The 17973-nt window shown below is 38.8% G+C and overlaps 1 protein-coding gene across 13 annotated transcripts in view; it reads right to left on the bottom strand.

The window, feature by feature from the left end:
* ATG10 (autophagy related 10) overlaps positions 1 to 17973 on the bottom strand; it is a 284111-nt gene that overhangs the window by 196190 nt on the left and 69948 nt on the right. For 7 of the 13 annotated variants that reach the window (XM_047417800.1, NM_001131028.2, NM_031482.5 and 4 more), the window contains one exon: positions 1342 to 1449. The exons of 5 other annotated variants lie outside the window; for them this stretch is intronic. In XM_047417800.1, coding sequence (XP_047273756.1) covers positions 1342 to 1449 — 108 coding nt within the window. Of the gene's footprint in view, positions 1 to 1341; positions 1450 to 4609; positions 4713 to 17973 lie in introns of those variants that run through there. One more of the 13 variants, XM_011543660.3, reaches the window with a different exon arrangement.

The following is a 17973-nucleotide window of genomic DNA, read 5'->3' as shown; positions in this document are numbered from 1 at the left end:
TTAATATATAATGAATTGAAAAGCTTCCTAATATGCTTGGCTTCAAATTTGATGTTGGTTATTGGAACCATGAAGCAGTAATCAAGATTCAAGCACCCATCTGGGGGCACTTAGCTTATTACCAAGCACAATACTCTCAAGAATAACTTGCAAACCTAATTATAAATAGGTGAAAGTTACTTGCAGGCCAGCATCATATACAGGCAAGGGGGCTGATGTCTGATTGGCAAATGGGCCTGATTTAACATGTTCTGAGAAACAGTTCTTCCTGCACACACACAAAAATTCACCTCTTTCATTTCCCCAGGATGCTCAGAATTCAAACACTAGTGATTTCTTCTTTTGTGCTGAAATAATTAGGTCCTCACCAATCCTCTTTCAAAATTCAAGTATTTTATTTCAATGAGTGCCATATAATTGTGGTGCTTCCATAGGATGGAATGCAATGGAGGCATTAAAGAGAACTATGGAAATCTGCATTTACTGACATGGAAAGATGTCCATGATATACTTGTTCATTGCAAAAAAAAAAAAAAGTGTGTGTGTGTGTGTGTATATGATAGAAATATGTGAAAGGATACTTACTAAAATGTTACCAGTGGTAAACTACTGAAGGACATATGGGATATTTTTAAATCCTTTTTATATATTTCTCTATTATTTATTTTTACAATGGGTATATACAATTTTTTTCACAAGAAATACAATAAGGCTATTTGCATTTCGATAAAAAGAAAAATGAAAATATCTCAGAAAACCACTCAGTCATTAGTACCATAATAAAATTTGGTTCAGCAAGATTTTCAAGTCAAGGTTAAAGTCCCCTAAGGAATAAGACCCAGATCCAGCATATTTTCAAGGGAAAAGGGGCTAAAGGCAGAGCAGGCAAAGAGGTCTCCAATCAAGTATTAAGCAGCCTGGGGCTAGGGCTATATTCAGGGAATTTTACTTGGAAAAAAAAATCAATAGACAACAGAAGGCATCTGTGGTATTCAGGTCCAAGAGAAACCAAAAGTATGACGGCTCACTACAATCTGGAGTCAGAGTGGATCTTATATAACTTTACCACAATTCTTGCTTTCAGTATTACAAAGGAAAATACCTCCTTCTCCCCCTACAACAGGCCCAGGATCCAATGGCAATTGGATCTCTCTCCAGTGGGAAGAAGTTTGAAGTTTTTAAAATATTTACTTAACAGAATTAAAGTATTTTATTTCAATATGAGTGCCATATAATTGTGGTGCTTCCATAGGATGGAATGCGATGGAGTCATTAAAGTATACATTTTTAAATGTATACTTTACGGAGACTGAAAAGAACATGATGCATTAAACTACTCACCTCCATGGGAAGACATGTCTGTCCATGGGTAGATGCTCCTAGATGTGACATCACAGACCCATTCTTAATTTGAAAGTGTATTTTGCACATGTAGCCATCAGAACAGTCCTGTGTTTCATCACCAAAAAATATATAAGAAAATGCCAATTATTTTAAGAATTCATCATTTTAAGAACCACTTCCCATAAGTTCCAAACTGATCAGTGAAAAACTAAATGTACTAAATGAGACTATATGGATAAAGAGACTAGTCCAACACCCTGTACGTAGTAAGTACTCAATAAATGCAAGTTTTATTCTCCTACCTCTCTTATTTATTAATGATGTTTCCACCCTCCTAGATTAAACCTTTCCCTTTTTTCCTGACTAGTCCATAGCACCAAGATCACAGAACAAAACTTAAGCTTATAGAAATAGCTTGTCACATAATTAATATTGATTTTCATGGCATACACATAGAGAACAATTTTAGGACTTGAAATAGATCTTGAAGCTGCAAGAAAGCTTCCATTTCAATTTCTTTCTCAAGGCAAGATCTCTATGAAAATGTCCCAGAAAGGTACTTATGCATCTCAGCAACTGCCTGAGTACCTCCAGGAACTGGCCCTTGTTACTCCCTTACACAGCGGTCATTTCCATTTTAGTGCATTGTACATTAAGAAAGTTTTGTCCTGTATTTCACATCCTTTAACTTACTTAGTTCTGCCCTCTGAAGTCTAATCCCTTTTCCACACAGCTGTTCTTCCAAGCGCTGAAGAAATGACCACCATTTGCAAATACTCCTTACAAAATATGGTTTCTGAGCCCTTTACCAGTATTTGTCTCCTGTTTCTTGTACTTGCTCTTAAATACACTAATGAATGATGTTCATCTAATTGTGGCCAGTTCCATTTTTTTAAGGTAACACTTTTTTGAATTCAATAAAGTCATGTGTAAGAATATAATACCTCCCCAAGAACAAACATACATGCCAATAAATATTAATTCCCCACCACATTGTCATACCAACATTTACATTTTAATAGAATTAAAATAATAAGGACTAAGGGGTTAATCTTCCTATAAGAAGAGGGAAATTTGGATGCAGTGACACAAACAGGGAAGAAAGCCATGTGAAGATGAAGACTGGAGCGGTGCATCTAGGAGCTAAAGATTGCCATCAGCCACTGGAAGCTAGAAGCAGTAAGGAATGGTCCTTCCCTAAAGCCTCTGGTGGGAGCAGGACCCTGCCAACATCTTGATTTCAGACTTCTAACCTCCAGAACTGTGAGAGAATAAATTTCTGTTACTTTAAGTCACCCAGTTTGTGGTTCCTTGTTATAACATTCCTAGGAAACTAATACAGTAACTCTATTTTTTAAGACACTTGACAGCACCTTAAGAATGCCTCCCAGTAAGTTGTGCTGACAAACAGCCAGCTCTCACTCAGGGGGCTGCACTGGTTAGTTGTTGATTGGTTAGATCCAACTCATTCTGATTGGTTGATGCCTCTGTCACAGGTTGCTAAATATTTTTAATATCATTCCTGCCTGGAAAGTAGGCCATCAGATATCCAATACTGTCATTTTTAATTATTTCATTAAGGATATCCATTTTGTAGATGGAATTACTGTTTTAAATTCCAGCTCTACACTATCTGACCACAAAGCAGATCCTGTAATGGTCTTCTACCATTGAAACCTTCGTATTTAGAAAAATGTAAATTTAACATTGGCTTAAACTGAGAAAGATATATGTAATGACTGTTGTCATTGCCACTGTTTCACATCAAACATCCATTCTTCCTTCTTTTGGAGCAGTAGTCATTGCTCCTCTAAGGAACAATTGCTCCTCAATTCTCCTGATTGAGAAGGGAATGGTTCCTTAGAGGAGCATTGGCTACTGTTACACTAATTACAGCTCCAGGGATAGACACAGATCTCTGATCCTGCCCATCAGTACTGCCGGCCCCAGAGACTCTGGAGGACAAATGATTACAGCTCCAGGGATAGACACAGATCTCTGATCCTGCCCATCAGTACTGCCGGCCCCAGAGACTCTGGAGGACAAATGATCTACATCACAGCCAATGGGATGAAATTCAGGATTTGGTTTTGGGGGGTTGGGAAAGGTGGCTGTTCTCTTCTCCACTAGGTTTGAGCCAGACAGACCACAAAAAAAAAAAAAAAAAAAACCTGGCAGCCATCATGTAATTAAACGAAGTTGGCTCTGCAACTCAGAGGAAAGCAAGACCATGAGATACAGAGAAACCACATTCTGACTACATTATTTACACCAACCATATCTGAAACTAGTTCTATCTCAGATTTTTCAATTACATGGCCCCAAAAAGTCCCTTCTTTGCTTCACCCAATGGGTTGGGTTTTCTGTCACTTGCAACCAAAATAATTTTGCTATTAAGTAACATAAATTTGTGTTTATTAGTTTAAAAATAGAAGATTTCTATTGTATTGTCAATCTTGAGATAGATAATCAATAGTTGATTATATAAAAGATTTACCATATACAGTCATGCATCACTTAACGGCAGGAATACCTTCTGAGAAACACGTCATTGGGCTATTCTGTCATTGTACAAACATCATAGACTGTGCTTACACAAACCCAAATGGTATGGCCTCCTACATACGTAGGCTATAGACATAGTTGCTTGCTCCTAGGCTGCAAACCTGTACAGCATGTTACTGTATTAATTGCAGGCAATTGTAACAAAATTTGTGTAAAATTTGTAAGTATTTGTGTATCTAAGCATATCTAAACAAAGAAAATGTACAGCAAAAATACAGTATTATAATCTCATGGGAACACTGTACATGTGGTCTGTTCTTGACCGAAATGTCATTATGCAGCATGACTATACGGTAAAACTATAATAGCATGTGTTTGAGAGAAAAATTACCCAAAGTCTGCAATTTCAAAATGATCTAGCCATAGAGATAAAAACCAAAACTCTCAGGATATTCAGAGAACACGGAGCTGCACTGTGTGTACTAAATATAGCTCATTAAATGAGGGTAACTGCTCTATTTTGTATTTTTCAATACCTGAGCCCTGGTCACATAACCTCCTCTTAAGGGAACATAAAATTTAGTAAAATTCTAATAACAATGCAAAATACATCTCCTTTGACATTAAAAGAGGTGAGTCAAAAATTCGTGTGCACCTATGTTATAAAATCTAAATAAATTATCTGGTCTCTTTCCCAATTAGTTAAGATAAAGAGATATGTCACTTTCAATAATACTTATAATTTGAGGAATTTACTTACATTTTAGGTAATTTCTAATACCATTTTTTTATTATCGATACGGAAGTACGCTGGGTTTTTTGCTCTATATTTGGTAGTGGTGATTTTTTTTCAGTATCAATCTTCTCAGTCAAGATTAGCCTTGAAAAATTAAATATAGAGTTTTTTGGATTTTGATTTCCCTTTAAAGACTTCCACAGAACTAGATGTTTCTTCTACTTTGTTTTAATTTAAGGCAGAAAAATATGTTTTGTGCTTCACTGTTGAAGGATGCTTTTTTAGAGACAAGCAAACTCAAAAGCAGGAGAACCACCACTCTTGTCAGCCCTGCAGTCCACCCAGCCCAGGAAAAAACGATGTCAACTCAAATTCCCCCTTGGCAATGAAGTTTTCCTGACCATTCCAATTAACACTCCTCTCTAGCTTCCCTGCATTCTTTTTGTACTTATCATAGCTTACACTTGAACATTTAACTCTTCTTTAATTTTTTAACATTTGTTAGTTTTATTTCTCCCACTAGATCATAAGCTCAGGGCCTAGGCCTCCATCCTCTAAGGGATGACAAGGTCTTTACAGGATCCAGATTCCATCCCACATAACAACCTGATCCAGAAAGAGTCTGAAAACATCCTGGACAAGCATGAGAGGATTTAAAAACAAAGGGAACCTTCAAGTTTATCCAATTCAAGCCTCTCATTTTAGAGATAAGAGGGTGAAGGACTAAAGCACTTCTAAGAAACTTGTCTTACACTAATTAGTTGGAGGCAGAGCAGGAAGTGGAAAGCGGATCTCTTGACCTGAGTATTCTTTGTAGTACACTAAGCAAATTCTGCAAGAGAGCAGGACCATGGCTTATTGACTCTCGTGGACTGGTGTGGGCCAGTGCTTTGCACTTCAAGTAACAAACTCAAGCCACTCAAGTGTGGTCTGGGGACCAGCCACAGCATAAGCTGCGAGCTCATTAAGACAGACAGGCAGAATCTCAAGCCTCACCCCAGACCTCCTGATTCTGCATTTAAAACATAATCCCCAGGTGATATGTATGCACATTTTGGAAGCACTGAGGCATGTACTGCAATCCCTGACTCAAAGAGACAGCAAACTGACTACATTAACAATGGTTCTCAATCCAAGCTGCACATTAGAACCACCTGTGGAGTTTTCAAACTGTTGCTGGTGTCTCACCTCAGACCAATTAAGTCAGAATCTACCTAGCAGATTCCAGCACAGCAGCCAGAGTTGAGAACCACTGCACTCAATTCCTTGGAGACCCTCTTTTGAACTCAATGAACAGAGTCAATCAGGTAATCTGCAGCTACCTCAGGAGAGAAGTCCACAAACAACTCAAGATCTTCATGAACACCATAGCTCATCTGGAGTTCTCCAAATGCTAAAATCACCTCTGTTAATGCTCTCTTCTTGGAGCTTTGACCATGCTGAGACTGCCTTTGAAGTGGTCTTTACTACTGCCCGAAAAACTAATTTCTGGCAACTTGGCCAGTCTTGACCTGGCCCTCTGAAACTGCCAGTAGTCTTGTAACTTAAAATTGCTCCAAGTCCAACTACACTTCAGCTATTAGGTCTCCTTGCTGTCCATTCACCACAAAGCATGATGCTTCACTCTGTCACTGTAGAAGAATAATTAATAAGAAATGTCCAGCTGTTATAACCCAAACAACTTTCATTATAAAGAGAATACTTCCTCACAGCCAAAACTCTTCCAGTTATCTAAATAGAATGCCCTTCACCTAAGACCAAAATAAGAAATATTTAAATGAGAAAAAAACCCCAAATATGCTAGATGAAAATATAGGAGAACACATATTTTTTAATATGATAAAAACCCAGAAGTCATAAAAGACTGGTAAATTCTACGGCATGCAACGAATTCTTAACACCATAAAGTCAAAAGACATATCAAAATGTGAAAAAGCATTTGTAGCTCATATCATAGAAAAGAACTAATTTTTTCAATATAAAATAGCTTTAATTTCCTCAAAATATAAATAGTTCCACCAAATCAACAGGAAGGGGTCCAATAGCCCAATAAGAAAATGAGCAAAGGATACACAGATAGTTTACTAAAGAGGAAATACATGTAGATAAAAATATGTTCAATGTTAGCCATAAGAAAAATGCAAATTAAAAACTGTGATAACATTTTTTACCTATCAGATTGGCAAAGATCAAAAAGTATGAAAGGGAATGTATAGACAAAGACATGGATAAAACAAGCAGGCACTCTCATACATTGCTGGGGCAGGGGAGTTAAAATTAGCATAAGATCCCTGAAGAGCAGGTTGGCAAAAACTATCAAAATTTAAAATGCACACACCTTGGATCCAGAAATGTTACTTCTAATAATTTACCTTATGGATATAGTCACATATGTAGTAAATAAAATTCATACAAATGATTATTAACATATTATTTTAATAGTATAAGGTTGGAAACAACCTAAATTTCCATCAGTGAAGATTGGCTAAATAAATTATTTTATGTCCAAATAATGGGATAGTATGTAACCACAAAAATAATGAATGAGTTCTGTAAATATTGAGTAATGACCAAGGCTGACCATTAAGTTATTTTTTAAAGCGCAGAACAGTATGAATATATGCATGCTACCATATGTTTAAATGTAACTGTACAGGCTATGTGTACACTGAATATATCCGGAAAGATACCCAAGACCATGGTATCACTGGCAACCTCTAAAGGTTTGAGTAAGGAAAGTAGAAGGGTTAGAAAGGAGACTTAACTTTTTAATGTAAAACCTCTTTTGTGCCTATAAATACATGGCACTTCATTTTAAACAAATAATTAATTGCCCTTTGCACATATGCCTCCAGGCCACCACATTGCCAGAGTAGATTCCAATCTTAAACTTCTAAGGAGAAAATGTCCTATAGGTCTTATAGAATCCAAGAGAGACAAGCAAGTTTTCTAGTGTAGTGCCGATTGCATTTTGGATGGAGATCTAAGGATTTCCTGATAGAACACGTTTGGGTCTGTTTTAGTACAAGCTGTCATAGGGCTATGCCACCCAGCAAGCTATGTTATGCCTGCTGGAATCCAGCTAACAAAATAATTATAGGGCTTTTGTTGCTGAGTTTAACAAGATCTTCTCTAGACACATCTAAAAGAAAATGGGTGGTTATCTAAGGGTCTAAGCTCTACTTCAGAATAAGGCATTTTATATACGACTTCAACTCAAGTTAACTGCCCAGAATGATCAACTGCAGGAAGGGCTTGACAAGTCCATAAAGGAGGAAGACAACTGAAGTTTCTAGGTCAATGCCAGCACTGATCAAACAAGGCCTTCAAGGTCAGTGGAGCCCTGAGGAATAGGTCAAACCTAGGCCACAGATCTCAAGTGACTGTTCTTTGCTGCTGTAGAAGATCAAACCAATACTATCAGTAGCTGTTCAAAACTGATTAACCTTGGGGTAAAAAGAAGAAACTAGAAACTACTGCTAAGTAGAAAAGTTTATACTAGGTAGGTCGGACATTAAACCAATATCCATCCATTTTTTAAAGTTAAAGGTAAGTAATGTAGGCAAGGAACTGTTATGGATGTAGAAGATCCTCCAGAACACAATGCTGAATGTGTTAATACGACTCCTCCCCATACCCCAAATATCCACCCAATCCCAGTAACACTGACTTCAATTTCTCATAGTGTTACACCTTCCAGATGCATGAGAGGATCCTGGCCAGGGTGAACTCTGATGCCTCTGGTTATGTTATATACAAAGGTAACTTTGTATAAAGAGTGACCAGCTCTAGTCAAAGTGATTCATCAGTACTGCTAGCCTCTGGCTCATTTAGACAAAAACTCAAGAATGAAAGAAAATAAGGAGATAATACATTTCATCTTTGATAAAGAAATTTGCACGTCTTTAATTTTCCCTTGGTCCTGCAGTATTTTGGGATTTATTAAACATGACACCTCATTAATTAAATAGTCCACCCATACCTCAGAACTTCTTGGGGGAAAGGGCTGGAGTTACATCTCAGATACTAAATTCCACTTAAGGAAGCTGAGCCTGTCCTTCTGGGAAAGAATTAAGCCTTCTGGATGCATTCAGCCCAATAGAGGCTAGCACCCCCTCGATTCACCATCTCCATGGTATAATCCACAATTATTGCTTTCATTTCTGTGACCTAATTTGTGAATCCCTACTGAACACATTTGTTCTCTAGCTGGGAATTAAACCACAGAAAAACACTGTGACACTTGATCCTTGATTGGTGGTTTTCTGCCCGTGCACAGTTTAAAAGAGCTTTTTTAATGCGGTCATGGTATGAAACTAAAAGAGAGTTCGTAGAATTGTTTTTTTAACAGATAGGGTCTTACTCTGTCACCCAGGTTAGAGAGCAGTGGCATGATCACAGCTCATTGCAGCTTCTAATTCCTGGGCCCAGGCCATCCTCCTGCCTCAGTCTCTTAAGTAACTAGGACTACACTGCCACATCTGGCTGATTTTTTTTTTTTTTTTTTTTTTTTTTTTTTGGTAGAGATGGGGTCTTGCTATGTTGCCTAGGCTGGTCTCAAACTCCTGGCCTCAAACAATCCTCCTGCCTCAACTTCCCAAAGTGTTGGGATTACAGGTGTAAGCCACCACACCCAGCCAAGAATTTGTAGGATTTTGACTTGAAATAGTCTCTATCAATCAGCAGTGTGACAGAGGATTATACCACCTTCAAAGGATTATATCATCTATTATAGTACAGAGAATTATACCCCCTATTATACTACTTACTTCTGCAATGAATCTGTTTATTTAAACAGACTCATTATATACTTTTATTAGGTTCAAATTTCGAATCAACCTATAAACAAAGCACAGAGGACTAAATTATAGTTACTGAATAGAATCTAAATATTATGAATCTTGATGATGTAAAAATAATAATATAATCAAAAATCAGAAAGAAGAATAGGAAGGAATGTGGGAGGTAGAAGTAATAAACTAAATTCTTCATCTATTATAGCAGGAATCAATAGTTATTGTCCAAAGATGAGAAATCAGGAAGGAGAAATATATTACTTAAAGTTACAGGGGTAACCATGAGAATAACTAAGGGATTATTCATCATCAATAGGGGTTCCATTAAGCAAATTAAAATCATCCATACAATGGAATACTACATAGCTATTATAAATAATAAGGTAATTCTGTATATGCTTACAAAGAAAGATGTCACTGATATGTTAGGTGGAAAAGTAAGTTATAGAACAACAATGCCATTTATATAAACCCATATATAAATGTGTATAAATATATTTATATGTGCATAGAAAACAAATTACAAAATTGGGTCAGAGGAGAAGGAGGGAAAGATTTTCATCTTTACTTTATATCTCTATGTATTATTAAACATTTTTAAATGAAATCATGTGTTATTTTTTCTTGTAGAAATAAAATAAAAACCCAATCCATGAAAGAAAAAGTAACAGTTCACTAGGGAGACTGAGATCTAAATCAGGAGTAAGAAAACTTCATTAAAACTTTCCTTTCACTCTGTGATAAATATGATTCTAAGAACCATGAAGTGTTAAACTAATTTTTGTTTTTATTTTCTTACCTTTTTGAACTCACTCTCTAGTTACTAACCCAAAATGGGGCCAATACTTCTTTCTTAGGTTACTACCTAATTACACCATACCTTCACTCTGTTTTTCAAGTAAACATTTTTTGATGTCACTTAGGGCTTTCAATTTTCAATGCCATTCAATAATGCCACAACTGTGCTCACTTGTATAAGAAGTTAGTTTTCTTTTTTTTTTTATTTATTATTATTATACTTTAAGTTTTAGGGTACATGTGCACAATGTGCAGGTTGGTTACATATGCATACATGTGCCATGCTGGTGCGCTGCACCCACTAACTCGTCATCTAGCATTACGTATATCTCCCAGTGCTTTCCCTCCCCCCCTCCCCCCACCCCCACAACAGTCCCCAGAGTGTGATGTTCCCCTTCCTGTGTCCATGTGTTCTCATTGTTCAATTCCCACCTATGAGTGAGAATATGCAGTGTTTGGTTTTTTGTTCTTGCGATGGTTTACTGAGAATGATGATTTCCAATTTCATCCGCGTCCCTACAAAGGACATGAACTCATCATTTTTTATGGCTGCATAGTATTCCATGGTGTATATGTGCCACATTTTCTTAATCCAGTCTATCATTGTTGGACATTTGGGTTGGTTCCAAGTCTTTGCTATTGTGAATAATGCCGCAAGAAACATACGTGTGCATGTGTCTTTATAGCAGCATGATTTATAGTCCTTTGGGTATATACCCAGTAATGGGATGGCTGGGTCAAATGGTATTTCTAGTTCTAGATCCCTGAGGAATCGCCACACTGACTTCCACAATGGTTGAACTAGTTTACAGTCCCACCAACAGTGTAAAAGTGTTCCTATTTCTCCACATCCTCTCCAGCACCTGTTGTCTCCTGACTTTTTAATGATTGCCATTCTAACTGGTGTGAGATGGTATCTCACTGTGGTTTTGATTTGCATTTCTCTGATGGCCAGTGATGGTGAGCATTGTTTCATGTGCTTTTGGCTGCATAAATGTCTTCTTCTGAGAAGTGTCTGTTCATGTCCTTCGCCCACTTTTTGATGGGGTTGTTTGTTTTTTTCTTGTAAATTTGTTTGAGTCCATTGTAGATTCTGGATATTAGCCCTCTGTCAGATGAGTAGGTTGTGAAAATTTTCTCCCATTTTGTAGGTTGCCTGTTCACTCTAATGGTAGTTTCTTTTGCTGTGCAGAAGCTCTTTAGTTGAATTAGATCCCATTTGTCAATTTTGGCTTTTGTTGCCATTGCTTTTGGTGTTTTAGACCTGAAGTCCTTGCCCATGCCTATGTCCTGAATGGTAAAAATACCTAGGAATCCAACTTACAAGGGATGTGAAGGACCTCTTCAAGGAGAACTACAAACCACTGCTCAAGGAAATAAAAGAGGATACAAACAAATGGAAGAACATTCCATGCTCATGGGTAGGAAGAATCAATATCGTGAAAATGGCCATACTGCCCAAGGTAATTTACAGATTCAATACCATCCCCATCAAGCTACCAATGACTTTCTTCACAGAATTGGAAAAAACTACTTTAAAGTTCATATGGAACCAAAAAAGAGCCCGCATCGCCAAGTCAATCCTAAGCCAAAAGAACAAAGCTGGAGGCATCACACTACCTGACTTCAAACTATACTACAAGGCTACAGTAACCAAAACAGCATGGTACTGGTACCAAAACAGAGATATAGATCAATGGAACAGAACAGAGCCCTCAGAAATAATGCCGCATATCTACAACTATCTGATCTTTGACAAACCTGAGAAAAACAAGCAATGGGGAAAGGATTCCCTATTTAATAAACGGTGCTGGGAAAACTGGCTAGCCATATGTAGAAAGCTGAAACTGGATCTCTTCCTTACACCTTACACAAAAATCAATTCAAGGTGGATTAAAGACTTTAACGTTAGACCTAAAACCATAAAAACCCTAGAAGAAAAGAAGTTAGTTTTCTTACAATATTCCTACTCCCTTTTCCTGGAAGCTCTCGAACCTACCAAGTCCCCCTTCTTTTCACCTCCAGCACCTTCCTGACTTCCTATGAGTAGTATAACACTGCTTCCCCATCCCTGTAATGCAGGTCAGAGCACAGCAAGGACAGAGGCCCCGAGGAATAAGTGGCAGAAAAAATTAGCCACTTGTCAGGCTAGAAAAGGTTACAGGTGGGAATTTGGTGACCTGATGTGGGGAGAAGCACACATGCATATGTGTTTATATATTCTTCCACAGCCTGTTTATCAAACGCAAGTTTTTAAAGAATTATTACAGTTTAAATAATGCTAAGTCTCTTCCCCTTCTTAGAGCCAAAGCATCAAAAGTAAGTTTAAACACACTAGTTCCGTTTTCCTTATTAATTACTTTTAACAGTTATCTCCACAATGTTAGGTTTCACTATTAAGCATTTTCTTTTCCCTCTTTCATTTTTTAATAATAGTTTGTTGTCGGGTTTTCCAACTTGCCCATTTTGAGTTCTCAATTTTCAGTTCATAGACGTGAGACCTTCATATGTGCCCTCATACTTTTTATTAAACAATTTGGTTTTGGCTCTGAGAATGCTCCTGCTTATTTGTGCCAGGGGAATGGCCAACGGATATTATAACTGATCGGAGGGGACATGGGGGGCCTGCTATCGAAAGTTATTTTTTTTCTCTCTTTGTTCCTGCTTCCAATTTAAGTTTGGAGACATTTTGCCATATTATGTTTGTTTGCTCACTGAATTATTCTTAAAGGCTTAGTTTTGCTTTTCCAATACTGTAGATAAAATTTAAAAAAAAAAAAAAACACAGATGACCTAAATGTTGGCCTTCTTCATCTTGATTTCTGGATTTAAAGTTACTCCCAATCTTATTCCTTTCATAAATTATTGCTTTTTGAACCATTGGCTATTTTATGAAAATTACTCAAGAGAATTAAGAGATTAAAGTAATTTTATATTTTATTAAATGGAAAGAAATTTGATAGTACTGATGGTAGAAAAATTATCAGGGTAGCAAGTTGTCACTTTGATTTCAAAGCACTATCCTTGCAAAGCAGTACAAATAATTAATTAACTTTCCCAGTTTTTAGTGAAATGAAGGATACCTGAGCTTAAGCAGTTTAACTCCTCAGAAAAGGATCCTGCTGTAGGGTCAAGAGAACAGGGGAAGTGACAAAGGCCTCCCTGGGATGGGCTGTACAAAGTACCACAAACTGGTGGCTTAAAACAACAAACATTTGCTTTCTCACAGCTCTGGAGGCTAGAAATTGGAAATCAAGGAGTTGGCAGAGCCGTGCTCTCTCTTTAGGCTGTTGCCTCCTCCTAGATTCTGGTTGTTGCCAACTTGGAAACTTATTACTCCAGTCTCTGCTTCTGTCTTTACACAGCCTTCTCCCCTGTGTGTCTGGGTCTCTGTGGCCAAATTTCCCTCTTCTTATAAAGATACCAGTCGTATTGGATTTAGGACTCACCCTAATCCAGCATGACTTCATCTTAATTTGACTACATCTGCAAAGATCCCATTTCCAAATAAGGTTGCATTCACAGGTTCCAGGTGGACATGAATTTGGGGAGACATTATTCAACTCAATACAGTTGGAGAAGCAGGAAGAGGTAGGAGAAACGCAGCCCCACAGCTGTCTCATCTAACCTGAAGACAGCTCACACAGGAGAACAGCTGAGGTAGGACAGAGCTGATGGCCAGTGATTTAGAAGCTGTTCCAACCTGGGGACAATAGGCCAGATTCTCAGGGCTACTGCTGGAAGCCAAAAGGGCTTTACCCAAGAATGAGGCAGAGGGTACTAACAGCTTTGAGAGAAGGCTGCACGGTAGTACAATCACTGCTTTTTATCCATGGAGCCTGGATATGGTGAGATTGAAAACTTTACTGAGGTCATTCTGCTTGCCAAAAAGAATATTCAATATTCACTTCTTGGATCAGTACCAGACACACGGCAAACTCACATAGTTAGCAGAGAGGAGGGACAAGAAGGGAAGACAAGGAAGGAAAGAGGGAGGATAGAATCCACTCAGCCTTTTTTATTAATGTAACAAAAGTTTCTTGACATATTTCCCAGAATGAGTCACAATCTCTGCCCTCCTAGTCCTTTCCACTCCAAGTCTGTGAAGGTTTAAAGCTCTTATACTGAATTCCCTCCTTCTCTGTGTCATCTATCAGAACTCCTGCTTCCCATAGCTTGGCATTAATGTCTCAGAAAAAGGAGAAAAGCTGTTGCCTCTGCATCAAGACAGAAGCATACAACAGAACAGCAGAAGGAGGAGAAGCACATCACCTCACTCCACCCCAAAGGCATACACACCTTAGGGAATCTTCCTTAAATATCTCCTCTCCTTCAGTTCCATGAGTTGATCATGTTCTCCCACTGCTGTGTTCCTAATTTTAAGGTTGAAAACTGGCGACCTTAAACTGATGATCATATATATATATGATCACATATATAATGTCTTAACCTAAAATTGTATTTGTTGATTTTACACATCACATAAATGGGGTATCCTTCAAATACTTCTGTATTAAGTGTTTCTTTGGCCAACTAACCATAATAGAATAACAAAATAGACATACCCTCCCACATTAAACAACTAGAAAACCAAACATAAAATATAAAATTGGAGTTTTCAAACACTGAACACAGGCAGCGCAGAACAGTGATCTCTGAGAGAAGAGAAATAAACAAGGTGAGCCTGATAAGTATCCCCGCTAGAGAAAGTTTCTAGGCCACACTACAGGGATAGGATATCCAAACAGAGCCCTGAGTATTACTAACTTGGGGAGACAGAGTTCAGACTTTGGAGAAACAGATTGACAAGAATCTGTGCAGCAGAGTACAAGGGAGGCACTGAAAGAAATAATTCTCAAGATCCTCAGAGGAGCCTTTTGTGAGTCTTTCACTAAGTAGTAAACTGCACATGGACGTGAAGAAACTACTGATACCTAGCAAGAAACAGTAAAAATAAGTATGCAGCACAATCCTCAGAATGCACATAGGGCTAGGAATAGTTCATATTCCCACCAGTGAGAATAGAAAACCATCCTAACATGCACAGCAATGAGTAGTATCCTCAGAAAGTAAATGCCTTAGCTGTGGTCCAAATCAGACCTAGTCTAAACGCTGTTCAGGACTTGCCGTCGCAATTCAACCCTTGAAAGAATCAAACCAATTCCAAGGATCTTAATTGCATTCCAGAAAAAGTCTGAAAATATCTAAATGAAAAAAAAAATCCAGCACTCACAATGTCTGGCTTTCAATTAAAAAATTACCAAGCATGAGAAGAAATAGGTAAATATGACTGAAACAGGAAGGAAAAATCAGCCAATAGAATTGGACCCATAAATATGCAGGTGATAGAATTAGAGACCATGATATAGTTTGGATTTGTGTCTCCACCCAAATCTCATGTTGAATTAGAGGAGGGGCCTGGTGGGAGGTAAACGGATCATGGGGTTGGATTTTCCCCTTGCTGTTCTCATAATAGTGAGTGAGTTCTCATAAGATGTGATGGTTTAGAAGTGTGTGGCACTTCCCCCTTTGCTCGCTCTCTCTCCTGCTCTGTCATTGTGAAGATGTGCCTGCTTCCCTTTCACCTTCCCCCATGACTGTAAGTTTCCTCAGGCCTTCCAGTCATGCTTCCTGGTAAGCCTGCAAACTGTGAGTCAATTAAGCCTCATTTCTTTATAAATTACCCAGTCTCAGGTAGTTCTTTATAGCAGTGTGAGAACAGACTAATATAGAAAATTGGTACCAGGAGAGTGGGGCACTGCTATAAAGATATCTGAAAATGAGGAAGCAACTTTGGAACTGAATAACAAGCAGAAGTTGGAACAGTTTGGAGGGCTCAGAAGAAGATAGGAAGATGTGAGAAAGTTTGGAACTTCCTAGAGACTTGTTGAATGGTTTTTGAATAAAATGGTGATGGTGATATGGACAATGAAGTCCAGGCTGAGGTGTTCTCAGCTGGAGATGAGGTACTTACTGGGAACCAGAGTAAAGATCACTCTTGCTATGCTTTAGCAAAGAGACTGGCAGCATTTTGCCCGTGCCCTAGAGATTATTTAGGGTATCTGGCAAGAGAAGTTTCTAAGCAGCAAAGTATTCAAGAGGTAACTTGGCTGTTTCTAAAATTCTATGCTCATATGCATGAAGGAAGAGATGGTCTGAAATTAAAACTTATATTTAAAAGGGAAGCAGAGCATAAAAATTTGGAAAATTTGCAGCCCAACCATTGCAGTAGAAAAGAAAAACCCATTTTCCACGGAAGAATTCAAGCCAGCTGCAGAAATTTGCATAAGTAATGAGAAGCTGAATGTTAATAACCAAGACAATGGGGAAAAATGTCTCCAGGGTATTTTAGAGATCTTCAGGGCAGCCCGTCCCATGACAGCCCTGGAGCCCTAGGAAGGAAAAATGGTTCTGTGGGCCAGGCCCAGGGCCCCACTGCTCTGTCCAGCCTCAGGACATGGCACCCTGTGTCCCAGCTGCTCCAGCTGTGGCTAAAAGGGGCCATGGTACAGCTAGGGCCACGGCTTCAGAGGGTGCAAATCCCAAGCCTTGGCAGCTTCCATGTGGTATTGGGCCTGCAGGTGTGCAGAAGGCAAGAATTGAGGTTTGGGAACCTACACCTAGATTTCAGAGGATGTATGGAAATGCCTATATGTCCAGGCAGAAGTCTGCTGCAGGGGTGGAGCCCTCATGGAGAGCCTCTACTAGGGCAGTGCAGAGGGAAAATGTGGGGTTGGAGCCCCTACACAGAGTCCCCACTGGAGCACTGTCAAGTGGACCTGTGAGAAAAGGGCCACTGTCCTCCATACATCAGAAAGGTAGATCCACCAAGAGCTTGCACCATGCACCTGGAAAAGCTGTAGGCACTCAAAACCAGCCGGGGAAAGCAGCCATGGGAGCTGTATCCTGCAGAGCCACAGAGGCGGAGCTGCCCAAACCCATGGGAGCCCACCCCTTGCATCAGCATGCCCAGGATATGAGACATGGAGTCAAAGGAGATTATTTTGGAGCTTTAAGATTTAATGACTGCCCTGCTGGGTTTCAGACTTGCATGGGGACTGTAGCCCCTTTGTTTTGGCCAATGTCTCCCATTTAGAATGGGAGCATTTACCCAATGCCTGTATACCCATTGCATCTTAGAAGTAATTAGTTTTTTATTTTACAAGCTCATAGGCAGAAGGGACTTACCTTGTCTCAGATGAGACTTTGGACTCTGGACTTTTGAATTAATGTTGAAATGAATTAAGACTTGGGGACTGTTGAAAAGAGATAATGGTATTTTGCAATGTGAGAAGGACATGAGATTTGAGAGGGGCCAAGGTGGAATGATACGGTTTAGATTTGTATCCCCGCCCAAATCTCATGTCGAATTGTAGGAGGGGCCTGGTAAGAGGTGATTAGATCATGAGGGCAGATCTCTCCATTGCTTTTCTTGTGATAGTGAGTGAATTCTCACAAAATCTGATGGTTTAAAAGTGTGTGGCAGTTCCCCCTTTACTCTTGCTCTCTCTCTCTCTCCTGCTGCACTATTGTGAAGATGTGCATGCTTCCCCCTCACCTTCTGCCATGACTGTCAGTTTCCTGAGGCCTCCCAGTCATGCTTCTTGATAAGCCTGCAGAACTGTGAGTCAATTAAACCTCTTTTCTTTATAAATTACCCAGTCTCAGGTAGTTCTTTACAGCAGTGTGATGAATGGACTAATACAGACCAGGACATGAAAATAGCTATCATAAATATACTCTTACATGTTCCAGAAAGTAGAAGAAAGCATGAGAATAATGAGCAGAAAAATA

Source organism: Homo sapiens, chromosome 5, assembly GCF_000001405.40.
Source record: "Homo sapiens chromosome 5, GRCh38.p14 Primary Assembly".
Lineage (NCBI taxonomy): Eukaryota > Metazoa > Chordata > Mammalia > Primates > Hominidae > Homo > Homo sapiens.
This window is presented reverse-complemented; position numbering and strand designations above follow the sequence as displayed.